The sequence below is a fragment of the Homo sapiens genome, chromosome 13 (genome assembly GCF_000001405.40).
Source record: "Homo sapiens chromosome 13, GRCh38.p14 Primary Assembly".
Taxonomy (NCBI): Eukaryota; Metazoa; Chordata; class Mammalia; order Primates; family Hominidae; genus Homo; species Homo sapiens.
The window spans coordinates 84,590,552-84,609,284 of record NC_000013.11 but is presented as its reverse complement, the minus strand read 5'-3'; the positions used below and the strand labels follow the sequence as shown (position 1 = coordinate 84,609,284).

At 37.1% G+C, this 18,733-nt stretch overlaps 1 long non-coding RNA gene across 1 annotated transcript in view, besides 1 other annotated feature; it reads right to left on the bottom strand.

The window, feature by feature from the left end:
• The window catches only part of LINC00333 (long intergenic non-protein coding RNA 333), a 466,167-nt gene continuing 449,950 nt past the window's right edge, over nucleotides 2,517-18,733 (bottom strand). The window contains exon 7 of the long non-coding RNA NR_046871.1: nucleotides 2,517-2,579. This is a non-coding gene — a long non-coding RNA (long intergenic non-protein coding RNA 333). The remainder of the gene's footprint in view (nucleotides 2,580-18,733) is intronic.
• Nucleotides 2,548-3,047: an enhancer, noted in NCBI's record as "H3K4me1 hESC enhancer chr13:85180373-85180872 (GRCh37/hg19 assembly coordinates)". NCBI's record gives its function as "activates a minimal SCP1, AML or CMV promoter by ChIP-STARR-seq in primed H9 embryonic stem cells {active_cell/tissue: H9 hESC(primed)}" and the evidence as "EXISTENCE:reporter gene assay evidence [ECO:0000049][PMID:30033119]".

The window sequence follows — 18,733 nt, the reverse complement described above, 5'->3', positions numbered from 1 at the left end:
GTACCATCTTTAAAATAATCTCTGTGGTCATTTACTGACCAGAGTGAGTTGCCTCTGTTAGGTTTTTATGCTTCATCAGAGAAATGGACCCAGAATGCTTTTCTCTACTATATCTATGAAGATCAATGACCTTTCCTTAGCAGCTCTTAGCTGATTTACACAGAGCAGAAAGAAACAAAAATCCTCCTTCTGACTGTAGAACTTAAGTGAGCAAGTGTTTGAGCTCCAAAGATAGGTCAAACACTGCTGTGACCTGAGATTATCAAGATAAAATACTTCAGTCTCTGTCTGTGGAGGGAAAAATCTAATGTCTATTATCTCCTAGAGGAATTAATAAACAAAAAAATAACAAATAATTTTTAAAAACCACCCCATGAGGCCAGGCATGGTGGCTCATGCCTTTAATCCCAGCACTTTGGGAGGCTGAGGTGGGTGGATCACCTGAGGTCAGGGGTTCGAGACCAGCCTGGCCAACACAGTGAAACATAGTGAAACATTCTCTACTAAAAATACAAAAAATTAGCTGGGTGTGGTGGCACGCCCCTGTAATCCCAGCTACTCAGGAGGCTGTGGCAGGAGAATCACTTGAACCTGGGAGGCAGAGGTTGCAGTGAACCGAGATCATGCCATTGCACTCCAGACTGGGGGACAAGAGTGAAATTCTGTCTCAAAAAAAAAAAAAAAAAAAAAAAAAGCACAACAAAACACCTGATGAAAGAACATGTGTATTCTGAGTTATCTTCTTACAGCTGCTTCTGTAATAAAAGAATCATCACACCCCTACAGAATTCCACTTGCATGCCCATCCCTAAAAGGTTGTTATGTGCAGCCATCAATTTATATATTTTGCTTAACATTAAATATCAATTATGTTTGGAGTCATTTTTCATATAATTATTGTTACGTGAGATGATTTAGTTCTAATTCCTCCCTACAAAATCCTATTTAGTCCATAATATCCCTGATGTATTTTATTGTTCTCATAAAAACATAAATCCAAATAATTTTACCCATCAACAATTTTTCAAGTAAGTGTGTTCAAAGCCTATATTGGGACTCTTCAAATATATGTGTTCTCAATTCAATGGTAACATTTAAGATCATGGACTTTCATACAGAACTGTTAGCTTATGTATACATTCTAGGTTGATGAAAGAGACTGGGAACATAGTGGACAAACAGGGACTTGAAATAAAAAGAAATGGAATCTCTTATGGGGTGTATGGCAAAGATAGAAAACTAATGGAACACTTAAGGTCTCTGCACCTTTATACAGAGTAGAATTGTTGTTGAGCAGCTGCTACCTATTTCCATTCATGTGAGACCAGCTCTGGTGAATAGAAATGTAAAGTTAAAGTGATGTGGGTTGCAGTGTTCCTTCCTCATACTCTTTCACCTCTCCTCGAGGCATTAAAGCCCACATGTTAGAGATGATGATATCATAAGTTGGAAGAAGCCTGGATTCCTGAATCACTCCTTGGAGGCCAGCCATGAGCTGCCCAATCGAGTACAAGTGAAATTAACTCTTTGTAAGAGAGAAATAAACTTTTATTTCATTAAGCCACTGGGATTTTTCACATGTTTGTTGTAAATCCTGCTTTAGTTGCCCTAACTAAGGTAATGGTAAAGGAGAAGATATGATTTTACTCAATTGACAGGCAGGGACTAGAAGTAATGAGAATCTTACTTTGTTTTGCTCTGCTTTTTATTTCTCTTTTTACACATTACACCACGTGTGTCCAATCTTTTGGCTTCCCTGGGTCACACTGGAAGAATAATTGACTTGGGCCACATACAAAATACACTAACACTAATGATAGCTGATGAGCCAAAAATAAAAATAAAATCGCAAAAAAAACACTTCATAATGTTTTAAGAAACTTTATGAGCTTATGTTGGGCCAAATCCAAAGCCATCCAGGGCCTTGTGCTTTACACTGTTTTTATGTTTTGCCCTTATTACCGCCTTTAAAACTTGATGCTCAAGAGAGCTGGATAGAATGGGAGTATAGAACAGGATGGTTGTAAAAGGACAAGAAAAGAGAAGATAAAAGAATAATCCCTTATTTTCACCTTTCCTCATCTTTCTAATATTTAGTATGGGAAGCAAGAGTAAGAAGGAATGAGGGAGAAGGCCTGTGTTTCGTGTGATGAAAAATAGCAATAAAATAGGTTTTTCCCCCATTTCTTTCTCCTTTCATATTTGGCTCTACAGTTACAGACCAGAATTAAAACTGCAATTTTAAATGTGTCCAGAGAAGAATCAAGCAACATCAGGGTTTTCCTATGGCTCTCATTTTTAGTGGGTGAGAAAACACTGCTACAGAGTATTGCAGTATTAAAGGCATGCAAGTACTAATAAAGGCATACTCACAGGTACTGTTCATGATGACTGCTTATCCTAACACTGGGAAGTCTTCAATATTTTCTTAAAATTGGAAGGGCTTCAAGATAGCTGACTAGAGGCATATGGTACTTCCCTCCTCCTCAAAGAACCAACAGAATGAGTAGATAATTACACTCTAAATAGGTCATCTAAGAAAGAACACTGGAATTCACCAGAAAAGTGACAGGAAACACCTAGGGCAAATAAGAAGAGAGAGTCAGAATAGCCTACTAAACTGGGATTGGCTAGTATCCCAGATAAGCTCCCTGGTTTGGGAAAAAGGTAAGCAAGAGACCCCCAGCAATCCTCATACCTCTGAGGGACTCCTGTGGTCCTACCCATGGGAGAGCCTCTTACCCTTGCATACCCTGAAATTAACATAAAGAGCTTCCTGGAGACAGCATGACAGCTCTGTTCCAGAGAGGGAGCTCAAGATGAGTCCCACACACCCCTTGAGTCCTAAGCAGCTGTAGCAAGGCACCATTTTTGAGAGACCAGCCCCCCTCAGACTGCGTCCCACCCTGGAGCCCAACACTGCCTGCATCTTTGCATCCCTGGAGCCCTATCGATAAATTCCACTGGCAGCCACTGCTGTTGTTGGCTGCTGCCACCAGGGCCAAAGCGCAAGCCATTAGCAGTAACTCCACCACCCCCAGCAGTGGGGCTGCAGCTCATCCTCTGCCATTGCCACCAGAGCATTCCACCAGGTGCCTGGGAATCAACTCACCCCTACCTACAACAGCCCACACCTGCATGTACCACCAGGGGGCTTGAGGACAGACAGGCCTGCCAAAACCAGCTTCACTCCTTACCCTTCCCTACTGCCCGAAAAAGTGCCTGGGTGCCTCGGGCTCACACAGCCCCATCCACTAATGTTGGCACCAAAGCACTCTTCCTGGGAGCCTGAGGTTGGGCCAACTCAATCTGCCACAACCAGCATAGTTGTGCATGCCACTTGCAGACCTGGGGACTGTCCCACCTACCCCACCACTGTCACTGTCAACACCAGCATGAACTGCTTGGGAGTCAGAAGTGTGTCTCACCACTGCTACTGCTGTTACTTATGCCATACCTGTTGCTGAGAGTCCTGAATACCTGTCCACCTGCCCAGCCCACCACTGCCACTCTCAGCACCTGAGCAAGCTTCATGAAGGCCCATGAATTGGCTCACCTGGACCTGCTAACCCTGGTGCCAGCTATACTTAAATCATGTAAAATACTTTAAGTCAAAAACAGTAAAAAGGAACAAACAAGGTCATTATATAATGATAAAGAGATAAATTTAGCAAGAGGATATAACAATTTTAAACATGTGTGCACCCAAAACTGCGGTATCAGATAATACAAAACAAATATTATTAGATCTAAAGAGAGAGATAGACTGCAATATATTAATAGTTTGGGACGTTAACACCTTACTTTCAGCTTCAGACAGATCATCTAGACAGAAAATTAACAAAGAAATGTAGGATCCAAATATCAAATAGCACCTTAGGTAAAGTGGACCTAACAGACAGCTACCGAACATTTCATTCAGCAAGTACACATTCTTCTCATAAGCACATGGAATATTTTCCAGAAGAGACCATATGTTAGGACACGAAACAAACCTCGACAAATTTTAAAAATCTGAAATCATATCACGTATCTTCTCTGACCACAATATAATAAAACGAGAGATCAATAACAAGAACTGTGGAAACAGTACAAATACATGGGAAATACTCAACATACTCCTGACAACCATTGTGTCATGAAATAAATTAAGGAGGACATTAAAAACAAAATTTGAAGGTTGGGTGCAGTGGCTGACCCCTGTAATCCCAGCACATTTGGAGGCAGACGGGTGTGGATTGCTTGAGCCCATGAGTTCAAGACCAGCCTGGGCAACATGGCAAAATCCTGTCCTACAAAAATACAAAAATTAGCCAGGCATGGCAGCACATGCCTGTAGCCCCAGTTACTTGGGAGGCTGAGGCAGGAGGATTGCTTGAGCTTTGGAGGTGAGGTTGCAGTGAGCTGAGATCATATCATTGAACTCGAGCCTGGGTGACAGAGCAAGACTGTCAAACAAACAAAAAAAGAAATTAAAACAAACAAAATCAAAACAAAACATATGAAAAACCTATGAAATTCAGCAAAAGCAGACCTAAGAGGGAAGTTTATAGCAATAAACACCTACATCAAAAAATATTCCAAATAAAAAATCTATTGATATACCTGAAGGAACTGAAAAAGCAAGAACAAACCAAATCCAAAATGAGTAGAAGAAATATAAAGATCAGAGAAGAACTAAACAAAATAGAGACTAAAAAAATACAAAGAATTCATTAAGTGAAAAGTTGGTTTTCTGAAAAGATTAAAAAATAAATTATGAATTCCTAGCTAGACTAACCCAGTAAAAAAGACAGAAAAACCAAGTTACAATCAGAAATGAAAAAGGAGACATTACAACTGATACCAAAGAAATACAAAAGATTATCAGAACAACTATAAGCTAGCAAACTGGAAAACCTAGAGAAAATAGATAAACTGGTGGACACCTACCAAGATTGAATCAGGAAGACATAGAAAACTTGAACAGACCAGGCCAAGTGTGGTGGCTCACTCCTGTAATCCCAGCACTTTGGGAGACCGAGGCGGGTGGATCATATAAGGTCGGGAGTTCGAGACCGGCCTGACCAACATGGTGAAACCCCATCTCTACTAAAAATACAAAAATTAGCTGGGAGTGGTGGCACATGCCTGTAATCTCAGCTACTCGGGAGGCTGAGGCAGGAGAATTGCTAGAACCCGGGAGGCGGAGATTCCAGTGAGATTGTGCCATTGCACTCCAGCCTGGGCAACAAGAACGAAACTCCATTTCAAAAAAAAAAAAAAAGAAAAGAAAAGAAAGGAAAACCTGAACAGACCAATAACAAGTCATGAGATTACCTGACTTCAAAATATATTACAAGGTTACAGCAATGAAAAAGAATGGTATTCGTATAAAAACAGACAAAAACCAGTGGAACAGAATAGGGAACCCAGAAATAAATCCATCAATCTACAACCAATCAATTTTCAACGAAGGTGCCAAGACTATACATTGGGGAAAGGGCAAGCTCTTCTATAAATGATACTGGGAAAATTGGATAATCATCTTCAGGAGAATGAAACTGGACCCCTATCTCTTGCCTTATACAAAAGTTAATTCAAGATTAATGAAAGACTTATATGTAACACTCAAAGCTATAAAACTACTAGAAAAAAAACACAGGGGAAATGCCTTCAGACCTTGGTCTAGGTAAAAGTTTTATGGCTAAGTCCTTAAAAGCCCAGGAAACAAAAACAAAAATAAACAAATCAGACTTCATTAAATTAAAAATCTTCTACACAGCAAAGGGAACAATGAACAGAGTAAAGAGACAACTTGTTGAATGAGAGGAAATACTTGCAAACTATTCATCCAACAAGGCACTAATATCAGGAATATAGAAGGAGCTCAAACAACTCAGCAGTAAAAACACAAATAATCCCACTAAAAAGTAGGCAAAGGACATGAATAGACATTTCTCAAAAAAAGTCATATAAATGACTTACAGGTACATTCAAAGATGCTCAACATTACTGATCACCAGGGGAATAGGAATTAAAACCACACTGAGATATCATTTTACCCAAGATAATAATAGAATGACTATTATTAAAAAGACAAAAAGTAACAGATCCTGGCAAGGATGTGGAGAAAAGGGAACTCTTATACACTGTTGCTGAGAATGTAAATTTATACAGCCACTGTGGAAAACAGTATAGAAATTTCTCCAAAAAAAAAAATGAAAAATAGAACTACCATACTATCCAGCAGTTCTCCCACTGTGTATCTATCAAAAGGACAGAAAATCAGTAGATCAAATGAATACCTGTACTCTCATGTTTATTGCCCCCCAATGTTTATTGCAGCAGTGTTCACAATAGCAAAGAGATGGAATCAAACTAAGCATCCATCATTGGACAAACGGATAAAGAAAATGTGCTTTATACGCACAATGGAATACTATTTGGCCTTAGAAAAGAATAAAATCCTGTTATTCTCAGAAACCTGGATGTAACTGTAGGTCGTTATGTTAAGTGAAAAAAGTCAGGCACAGAAAGACAAATATCACATGTTCTTATTCATATGTGAAAGCTAAAAATGTTAATCTCATAGATGTAAAACGTAGAATGATAGGTACCAGAGGCTGGGAAGTGTGTGTGGGTAGACAGGGTGTGGAGGTTGGATAAAGAAGGGTTGGTTAATGTGTACAAACATAAAGTTAGATTAAAATAACAAGTTCTAATGTTAGATAGCGGAGTAGGGTGAGTGTAGTCAACAACAGTGTATTGTATATTAATAGGTACATTCTTGTTTATCTGTTCTTGTACCTATTACTTATTAGTAGGATGAACAGATGAACAAGAATGTACCTATTAATATACAATACACTCTATTACCTTGTACAATTAACAGGTACAAATTAATAGCTACCAGAACGGATGAACAAGAATGAAAGATCTGTATGCCTTATATAAAAAGTAACAAAAGGGCTCACACCTGTAATCCCAGCACTTTGGGAGGCTGAGGTGGGTGGATCACGAGGTCAGGAGTTCAAGATGAGCCTGGCCAAGATGGTGAAACCCTGTCTCTACTAAAAATACAAAAAAATTAGCCAGGCATGGGGGCGGGTGCCTGTAATCCCAGCTACTCGGGAGGCTGAGGCAGAGAATTGCTCTAACCCAGGAGGCAGAGGCTGCAGTGAGCCAAGATTGCACCATTGCACTCCAGCCTGGGCAACAGAGCAAGACTACGTCTCAAAAAAAAAAATAATAATAAAAGTAACAAAATAACTAGAAAAGAAATTTTCCAAAATGTTGACATAATAAATATTCAAAGTGATTTATACCCTAAATACCTAGAATCATTACAAATTCTATGCATGTAAAAAAATCACATGTACTCAAAAAATATGTAAAACTATTATTTATCAATAAAAAAGTTTAAACTTTTAAATGATTCAAACCCTTTATATTTAATTTAATAATGTGTTGAATGTAAATACAGTTGACCCTTGAACAACTTGGGGGTTAGGGGAGTGAAATATACTGTCTTCTTACAATAAAGTCAGCTAGAGAAAAGTTATTAAAAATCATAATCAAAATATATTTACTATTCATTTATTGGAACTGAATCATCACAAAGGTCTTCATCCTCATCATATTTGTGTTGAGTAGGCTGAGGAAGAGAGGAAGAGGAAGGTTGGACTTTCCATTTCAGAGATGGAAGAGGTCAAGGAAAATCTGCATGTAAGTGGACCCACACAATTCAAACCTTTGTTATTCAAGCATCAACTGTACTTTACTTAATCTAAGGTGAAGAGGATTGAGTTAATCAAAACTAGTTCTCTCCCTAATGTGTGAGTTTGTGTGTGTGTGTGTGTGTGTGGGTGTGTTTTGAGCCAAGGTCTCATTCTGTCACCCAGGTTGGAGCACAGTGGTACGATTATAGTTCACTGTAGCCTCAACCTTCTAGGCTCAAACAATCTCCTGCCTCAACTTCCCAAGTGGCTGCGACTACAGGTATGTGCCACCACACCTGACTAATTTAGTTTCCTTTTTTTCTTTTTCTTGTAGAGACAGTGTCTCAGTATGTAGGTTGCTCAGGTTGGTCTCCAACTCTTGGGCTCAATCGGTCCTCCCACCTTGGCCTCCCAAAGGGTTGGCATTATAAGCATTGTGAGCCACTGCACCCAGCCCCTAAAATATGTTATTTTAAAATTTTTTCCATTTGTATGAGTTTCTTTTGGGATTGTAGAAGATTCTATTGGGTAGTATGGTAGATTTTTCCAGAGTCCAAAAAGCATAATTAATATCAACATTTAATATTTATGATAGACTTAAAGTGACACGCTGTGCCACTTCAAATAGAAGTTCTCAAGGATTATTTCTAGAAAACATTAGAATACTGGGCCAAATATGCTACCAAATTAAGATCAGGTTATGACAGTGTCTCAAAATTCGCAAACATACAAACATGGAATACACATATATGTATATATGAATGAGTTTGGACAGCCATAAAATATACCACGGACTGTGTCGCTTAAACAACAGAAACTTATTTTCTCATCGTTTGGGAGTCTGAAAATTTTAAGATCAAGATCAAGATTCCACCAGGATTCAGTTTCTGGTTGGGGCTCTTTCCTTGGCTTTCTATGGCCTTCTGGCTGTGTCTACATGGCAGACAAAAAGAGAGAGAGAGAGAAGGGAAGATGAAGATCTTTCTCTCTTACCTTTTTATAAGGCTATCAATCCTTTCAGACTAGGGACCCAAGCTTATGACCTCATTTAGCCTTCACTGCTTCCTAAAAACCCTATCTCTAAATACAAGCACTTTAGGAGTTAGGGCTTCAACATACACATTTTAGGAAGACACAGTTAAATCCATAGCAATGTATATATCACAGACACATAAAGACACACACAAGGCAGACAAATTTCTCAATTTTAAAAGTTTTAAATTAGTAAGTTTTTTTTGGCTATTCTCATCCCTGTAGATAATGTAATATCTGATGCCATTCACTAATTAAATGAATAAGTACTTATTTGAAAACCTACTATACATGAGATACTGTTTCTACAATGTAACATGTGAAGACAGACAATTAACAAGAAATAAAAATCAAAAGTAAATGACACAATATGGTAGAGGCTGAAATATACTAAAGAAAAATGTAAAGGAAGTTAATAGGTACAAGAATGGATAAGAAAGAGTGAAGGGTCTGTATGCCACGTAAAAAAAGAAACATTTGGGCAACATTTAAAGGAGGTTAGGCAATAATTAATTATACAAATAACTGAGAAAATAATATCCAAGGCAAGGGAACTGTGAGGGTAAAATGCCTAAGAGAAGTTATTTAAAGCAGCAACAGGACAGTGTGGCTAGTGAAGGTAATTAAGAAAGAGAGAAATGGAAATGGTTTAGAAGCCAGATTGCATAGAATTGCACAGGCAGTTAGCTGTAAACTCTTTATTAAACTGTAAGTGAAAATGGGAACCATTAGAGCATTTGAACAGGAGTATTCTAATTTAAGGAAAATTTTTAAAGAACTTATATTGCTGTTATATTGAGAATTGGAGGATGGATAATAAAAGTGGAATCAGAGGCCAGCTAGGTGGCTACTAAAATAATACAGGTAAGAGGCAACTGTGTTTCTGACCAGGGTGGTAGCACTGGTTAGTATTGGGCTTCTGGATATCTCTTAAAAGTAGTGGTATTAGTCTGTTCTTACACTATACAGCTATAAAGAACTACCTGAGACTGGATAATTTATGAAGAAGAGGTTTAATTGACTCACGGTTCTGCAGGCTTAACAGGAAGCATGACTGGGAAGCCTCAGGAAACTTACAATCATGGTAGAAGGTGAAGGGGGAGCAAGCACATCTTACCATGGCAGAGCAGGAGAGAGAGAGAGAGAGTGAGGTGGGAGAAGTACTACACTTTTAAATCATCAGATCTCATGAGAACTCACTCACTATTACAGGAACAGCATGGGGAAAATTCACCCCCATGATCCATTTACCTCCCACCAAGTCCTTCCCCTGCCACACAGGGATTACAATTTGTCAGGAGATTTGGGAGGCGACACAGGACTAAACCATGTCAGTAGTGTTCAAGAAAGATTTACGGTTTGTATGCAGGTACTTATGGTTTGTAGCATCAAAGGACATGGTTAATTTATATTTGTTATATTATTATCACTACATTTTGCTGCAAACAGCAACAAGACTTTTATCAAGTCCCAGACCTTGTTCTAAAATTAATAGTCTGGAATGCAAAAATGTTTCAGTGAAAGTAGGCTATAGATAGATTCAACATAGACTAGCTTGACATATTAAGTACATTTGAAATCACTGGATCTTCAGTGAAAAGTTAACTTTAGAGTAGGTAAAATGATTATTTATTCAAGTAGGTGGTCTATACATACAGCGCTATTCCTTTCTTTAGGTATCATAACAACTTAATAAAGTCTTCAAATACGTTCAGTTCTCTGTAGACAATAGTATGATAGATTCTGTTGGCCAAAGTCCCTTAAAATGATATCTATCAATGCCTACTTGTTTATGGTTTCAGGAATCTCTCTAAAGGCATAGCTGGAAAATTTTAACCTTGGATACTGTCACACTTTTGAATTCAGTCTGGGTTGAGGCTGATACTATAGTAGCTGAAGGTCTCTATTAATTAGAATCAAATCTCTTTATATGCTAGCTATTTCCAATTTATTTCTGCTCTCAGATTTCAAAGTCAACTTCTGGCTCCATATATGAGACTTCTCTTTGCATCCAAAGGGAAGTCTGCATATGTCTCAGTTTGTACGTGAACAGCCTGAGATTCAAGAGGTCACAGAAGTATAGAATTGCCATTCAGGGGTTCCTGGGAGATCAATTTCTAGTTCTGATATTTGGTTACCATTGAAGATATACAATCCTGGAGTGGCACAGTCCAATGCTGCTGGCTATTACCTGCTAACATGTGGGCTTCTAGATTCTGTTTCTAATGCATGATTGTTTATCTGGGGCATTTTCAGTATAATGCTGGTTCAATAAAATGAACTAACAGTCACCTTAACATCCTTTTTATAGATGTAAAAATGTAGGGGCAATTTTATGGGTTTTTATTTTCCAAATAAAAATTAAATACAATATGACAGCTGGATGCAGTGGCATGCATCTGTATCCCCATCTACTCAGAAGGCTGAGGTGGGATGATCGCTTGAGCCCAGGAGTTCACATTCAGCCTTGCTGACATAGCAAAACACTGTCTCATATATATATCACACACATACACACGCACAATATCAAAGCAATATCTCTGTGAGAAAATGCTTAAGAAAAAAAACTGTATTTAATCTGGAGAGCTGTTCCATGCTGACAGGCGTCTGGATGCTCTTTGCTGAGATAGACAAAGCTTTGTCCTGCCATGCAGGATATGTCTTGCATCCCAGCTGTTTATTTCTGAAAACTCAGTCCACAAAGGAAAACTGGGCTAAGAAATCTATTTTAACAAGAGTGCAGAGAATAGGGCATCTTAGTAGGTGACTCTGAAAAGTCTCTGCTTCAAACTCTAGACTATGTCCAAAGATTTTGCCCCAGTTGTTTTGTCTTACCTGCCTACAAGCAGAGAAGCTTGATATAGATCAGGACCCTTGTCAGTGTCACAGGTAACACAAATGCTATTGAGAGTACCAGAACCACAGGAAGTATTAAAAGGAATGTAGAGACCGTAGGAGTGGAGAGGGGAGAATGTGCACATTATGAGTATGTCTCTCAATTGCCCAGAGACCCTGATGTCTGAGATATTAGTTTGAAAATGAAGAACCAAAAATGGCCACATACAGGGGGACTTCACAAAGTTCATGGGAAAATGAAATTAAAAGATAAAAATATAAATATAAACTTTATTTCTCAACATAAGCTCCAGAAAGTTCAAGACACTTTGGCAAGTGATGATACCAGCCATTTAGTTCATCCCTAAAGAACGGAGGGTCCTTGGAATTTAACCATGTAAATGTAGTCTTTTTTACATTATTACCTGAAGAAAAATGGATATTCTTTAGAAATTTTTTAAGATTAAGGAAAAAAAGCAGTCAGAAGGAGGCAAATTAAGACCATAAGGTGGATACTTAATGATTTCACATTGAAACTCACACAAAATTGCCCATGTTTGGTGAGAGCATTGTTGTGGAAGAGAAGGACTCTCTGATAAAGGTTTCCCCAGGCAAAATTGTGCTAAAGTTTCAGCTAACTCTCCCTAAACACTCTCATAATAAGTGGATATTATCATTCTTTGGCACTCCAGAAAGTCAACAGGCAAAATGCATTTAGCATAACAATCAAACTGTCGCTGTTATCCCTGCTCTCAACTGGTCCACTTTTGCTTTGACTGGACTGCTTTCACCTCTTGACAGTCATTGCTTTGATTGTGTTTTATCTTCAAGATTGTAGTGGTAAAGTCATTTTTTCACCTCCTATTAGATTTTTTTTTTTTTTTGAGGCAGGGCCTTACTCTGTCATCTAGGCTGGACTGCAGTGGCACCTTTGTAGCTTACTGCAGCCTTGAAATCCTGGGATCAAGCAAGTCTCTTGCCTCAGCCTCACAAGTAGATGGGACTACTGACACATGACACCATACCTGTCTACTTAAAAAAAAAAAAAAAAAAAAAAAAAAATATATATATATATATATATATATATATAGAAATGGGGTCTTGCTATGTTGCCCAGGCTAGTCTTGAACTCCTGGCCTCAAGAGATCCTCCCACATTGGCCTCCCAAAATGCTAGGATTACAGGCATTAACCACAATGCCTGGCCCTTCTGTTACAATCGCTTAAAAAACTAAAATTGAGAAAAAGCTTCAGAATCTTGATCCCACTTGTTTAGACTTTTCATTGAAAGCTCTGCTCTCGTCTATATCTGATCTGGATGCAATGGTTTTGCCACCCCTTGAGAAAAAAGTTTGCTTAACTTTCATTTATTCAGTCAAAATTGTGTAAGCTGAATCAATGTAGATGTCCACGGTGTTGGCTATTGCTTCTACTCTTAATTGTTGATACTCTCCAATTAGTGTATATTAGTCTGTTCTCACACTACTATAAAGAACTACCTGAGACTGGGTAATTTATAAAGAAAAGAGGTTTAATTGGCTCATGGTTCTGCAGACTGTACAGGAAACTTTCAATCATGATGGGAGGGGGAAGCAGGCACATCCTACTTGGCTGGAGCAGGAGGAAGAGAGAGGGAAGGGGGACTGCTGCATACTTTTAAGCAACCAGATCTCATGAGAACTCATTATGAGGAGTACAGCGAGGGGAAAATCTATCCCTATGATCCAATCGCCTCTCACCAGGCCCCTCCTCCAACACTGGAGATTACAATTCCACATAAGATTTGGGAAGGGGCACAAATCCACACCGTGTCATAGGGCGTGAAAATTAATTTTTATGTTGCAAATTGATGTGGATGGTGTACTCTTGCAGGTTTCATCTTCAACATTTCCTTTTCCTAAAATGAGTTATCTGTTTCTCAGCTGCTGATTTATTTAGGGCCTTGTCCCCATACACTTTTTGTAAAGTGTCAGTGATTTCACCACTTGTATTAGTTTCTCTTTGCACTGCTATAAAGAACTGTCCAAGACTGGGTAATTTATAAAGAAAAGAGGTTCAATTGACTCGCGGTTCCACATGGCTGGGGAAACCTCAGGAAACTTACAATCATGGCAGAAGGTGAAGGGGATGCAAAGACTTCCTTTACATGGTGGCAGAAAAGAGAGCTAGCAAGGGCAGGAAAAACTGCCTTATAAAACCACCAAATCTCATGAGAACTCACTCACTATCATGAGAAAAGCATGGGGGAACCACCCTCATGATCAAATCTCCTCCCATTAGGTCCTGTCCTCGACACATGGGGATTGTGACCATTACAATTCAAGGTGAGATTTGGATGGGAACACAAAGCCAAACCACATCACCATTCTTTCACCCCAGCTTCACCAAAAATTTGATGTTTGGTCTTGCTTCAATTTTAACAGAATTTATGTTGCTCTGATAGTGGCTTGTTTCAAACTGATATATTTCTTAGTGCTCCACACTAGATCCTCTTCAGACATTTTTGCAAAATTTTAATGAGTTTACTTTGGTGCAGAAAAATTTTGAAATCCTTACATAGTTTTTCATAATATACATTTTCCATGAATTTTTGAAGACCCATCTTGTCTGTCTTATCTCATTATGAAGCACTGTTTTATATTTATATGAAAGGATTGTCAGCTAGTTTACCTTTTACAAGTATCTGTATCAATAAGTGAAGAAAGAGCAAAGACTTTCTGAGAAGAATGAAGGCATGGAGTGTACATACACTCTTTGAGGAGCTAGTATTTCCATTTTGAAGCAATCTTTTTCAAAAGGAAAAGTGTGGCTTGATCACCATCCTATTCTACAATCTAACTGTTGGTGCTGTAAGTTTTAGACTAAAGATTTGGCTACAGTGTGGACCAGTCTACTAAGTATATCCTTCCTCTATTTTCTCTCCAAACTCTAACATCAACATGTCACTTGGTTGTGAGCGTCTCTCACATAGATGTACTTCTACCCAACTTTAGAAGCAGGTGATATGATGTGCCCAATATAGTCTGTGAATTTTCTCCTTAAATATAACTAAACATTATTTGTTCAAGATAATGTCAGTTTTGTTATTAAGGTAGTCAGGGAGCAAATCTCTAATGTGTTTGCATGCCTTTCAAATAAAATCTAAGCTTCAAAATTGATATGATCATGTCTTTAAGATTACATTTAAAAGAAGTCCAAAAAAATTCAAAGAAACGTACAAAGGAGATACAAAACAGATTCCTGAACATTTAAAATGGGATAAAGGGTAATCAGTCTGCTAACAGAGGTTTTAAATAAACCAGGTAATTTCTAATCAATTTAAATTAGATTATTTTTTTGGTTCAATTTAAAAACAAAATTTAGTTCAGTAAAATTTAGTAATCAATGTCAAAAATGTTTTGCAATGAAGTGGAATATGAAGTTTCCTCTATAGTAATGTGATAACCGTTAATATGTCCTTCAGTCTATCAGACTTGTTTATAGTTTTATTGTTTGAAATAGAGATGATTAACATTTTGGTAGAATGAAGACGAAATCAAAATTAAGTGACAGAAGAGGCTTTTGACCTATGCTTCATAATTAGAATTTAATTTCTGTTTTATCATCAGAAATAATATCATTGTACAGAATAACATGCATTCCATTACAAACTATTGGAAAATAGTTTATGAATCTAAAAATATTTAAAAGATTTAGAAACTTTAATAGTGTAGATACAAACTATCTATCTTTATATAGGAAAATGTGAGAATACAATAAACCACATTGTGACTGAAGATTTTATGTGTGAAATAAGCAGAAAGGAACAATATGCCTGTTTGTCTTGATAATAGCATATCAGAAAAGTAGAGCCATTTTGTCATTTTAAATTCCATTTTCTTTAACTTTAATTGAGCTTCCGAATGCCGAACCAGCAAAAAATAATGTAAAACTTATATTAGCCAAAAAAATTGGCAACAAAAGTAAATCATTTGGAAACTCTATTTGGCAAACATCTTTAGGCTTTGGAATTAGTCATGACAGCTTCCATTTTTATTCCATAAATGTTTTCATGGGTAATCACCTTCTCTCTGCCTGGCAAATATAGCACTATTAAGAGAAAGAGAAATTGCTTAAGATTTTGACATGTTTATCATTCAACAATGTGTTTGTTATTTAGTTTTTTTGGAAAGTATATACAACATATTTTAATTCAACTAGCCCATCCTTATGTAACTGAAATCACTTTAAATATAGTTAGAGTTATGTATTATATACAGTTATAGTTAGTTACTTGGTTAACCTGTTAGAAAGTTATTCTAGAAATGTGTGATGTGACATCAGCATTTCTAATAATACTACTAATAAAATCAACTATTATTACTATAAAATTTTATTAAATCCTTTATGATTTCTAAAGAACTCTAAATGACAATATTATTTCTTTATCATAAATATAAATTTTCTCTCTCCCCATTAGGGTCATGGTTTTAGTAGTTACACAGATATTTATAATCCTTGGATATAATGGCAAAAATTAATCCTGTGGCTAGAAATAAGCAAGAGGTTCAGGTGAGGTGAGATGGATTCCAAATAATGAACAAGGGACAGAAACAAATATTTATGTCAGAAAATATGCGAACATCGGGGAAAAAATGAAAAGCAGTACTTAAAATAGAGAAGACAGTAAAGAAAGATAAAAGTAGAAGGGCTAGGGAGATAGGTATTTAAGCATTTGAAAGAGAAAAGGAAATGGTATTCAAGATATAAAAGAAACTGAGAAAATAATTTAACTACTTTTCCTAATATAATGCATTTATATCACCTCATTTTTTTTGTTTTTGTTTTTTGAAATCTACAGTTCATTAAGGAGCACGCAGTCACAGCTAGCTTCCTGTTTGAAGAAAAAGAAAACAGTCCCTTGTTCAAATATCATAATTCACCAAAATCTCACCATGTTTTTCATTTTTTTCTATTATAAATTTACGTTAATTGCATGCTGCTTAAATGTGGTTTTACATATTTACTCTCAGCAGCTCACTTTTAGAGCTACATATATTTTCCCACAAATGAGTCTTTCAAATCTTCAATAAATGCTCTTTCAATATTTGATATGGTGGTATATATGCGGTTGCTGTCTTATCCCAAATTAAATGTTTATTTCAGACACTTCATTTAAAGTGTTTTCATTTTCTACTCATTTTAGTTGGAAAAGCAATCATGCAGGCTCATTGAAGCTATCTCTTCTCTGGCATTATTGTTCTTGTTAGTAGTGAAGTAACCTGAAATGGCGGGGGTGGGAAATAAAGCAAAATGAGAAACGCACGCAAACAAATTGTAGCTTCCATTCTTTACAATGGATGTATTGCAAACATAAAAAAGGTTTAGCAATAATCTCTAGCTGTGCCAATTCACTTCACAAAAACATATTCATTCATTCATAACAACAAAATAATACAAAATGAATGTCACTAGGGGGAAAATCCTTTATTTAATAACCACATTGACAGCATGTGCATTTTCATTTTTTGTATATTAGAACATGGGAACAAAAAGCTTTCATTATAAATAAGGAATTTGTGGTTTATATGTGAGAAAATGGCTGGATAGCAAAAAATATTTTTCTCATTGATTACAATTGCAGACAAAATGTCACAGAGTCTGTGTACAAACTGTACCACTTCATTTATTTTCTTTCCACTGATGATTTTCAATACATTAGTATATGCCTCTATCATTTCCAATGCTCACAGCATAGGCATAATTTTATTCCTCTTTCTCATATTGAGGATAAAACCTATGATTCCTTTACCTCCTTGTTTTTCCCTTGGTATTTAGGAAGTAGATGATTCATCTACAAGGGTGTAAACCAAAAGGTCTCAATCAATTTACCAGTTTATTTTGTCAAAGTTAAAAACATGCCTACCAGAAGAAATAAACACGAAATCACAGCAACAGTCTGTGGTCTGTGCCTTTCTCCAAAGATAATTTTGAGGGCTTTGATATTTAAAGGGGAACAAGTTGCTGGCAGAGAACTAAGGAAGGTGTGGAAATCCACATGTTGGAAGAGAAAAGGAGCAGGTAGGGAAATAGTCAATTACATATTCATCTAGCACTCAACAAACTAGCACTTGACATAAGATAAGGTGAACTTAGAGTAGCTACTTGGGGACATATTTAACCTTTAAATATTTAATCTGTAGCTATCTGCTTAGGAACAAAAGGAAAGGCAGTTTCTTGCAAGACTCAGTTTTCAGCTTATTATTATTATTTGCATAGTGAATTGGGGTCCCGAGATTTTGTTTTCTTTTTACAAAGGCATAGTCACAAATTCTGAACCAGCATATTTATTTCAGCTTGAGGTAAACTGAAAAACATGTATTTAGAACTTAAGGTAAGATCTCAGAAACTCTTTAGTTGTTGGAACACCAGACTTAACAAATTAAAATAGTGTGCCCAGTTAAAATTTGAACTTGAGATAAACAACATGTATCTTTTTAGGATGTGAAAGGAAAATAAATCTCGAGACCATAAATTCACCAAGCCAGAGGGAAAAGTCAATCTGGGAACTGGGTCACACAAATCTGCCTCCCATTTGGTTCCTAAATAAGATAGCTACAAAGATAAAAAGCTACATAATTCCCTCACAATTTTCCCACAAGGAAATTCCTTGTGGTCCTAAGATATTTACCCTAAAACAGTTCTGTTGAATTTAACCCTGGCAATATAAATTTATAGCTTATCTTCACAGGTGAGGGACAAAGAACAGAACTCAAAGTCATTCCCTTGCTCACCTGAGAAAAATGCGTATCTGATTGCTCCCTCTGCCCTATTCTTTATGTTATCTTATGTAAAAATGCAGATTCCCTGAACCAGACTAAGGCATAAATAACTACACCTCTACCCACCTCTCACATGTAAATTGTGTATTTGGTAAAAGGCTGATCAAAGACACAAAAGAATGCAACAGTTTTTCTCTTATCTGCCCACACCTTTTTAACATTTATTCCTCTCTTGCCCATATCCGCCCTTTTCCCTTTAAGTATTAAAGCCCTCAAAATCATCTTCTGCAAAAGGCACAGGCCTGTCTCCTGGGCATGGGTCCTTAACTTTGGCAAATAAACCTCCTGAAATGATTGAGACTCACCTCAGTAATTTTCATTGATTTACAAGTATTTATATCCAATA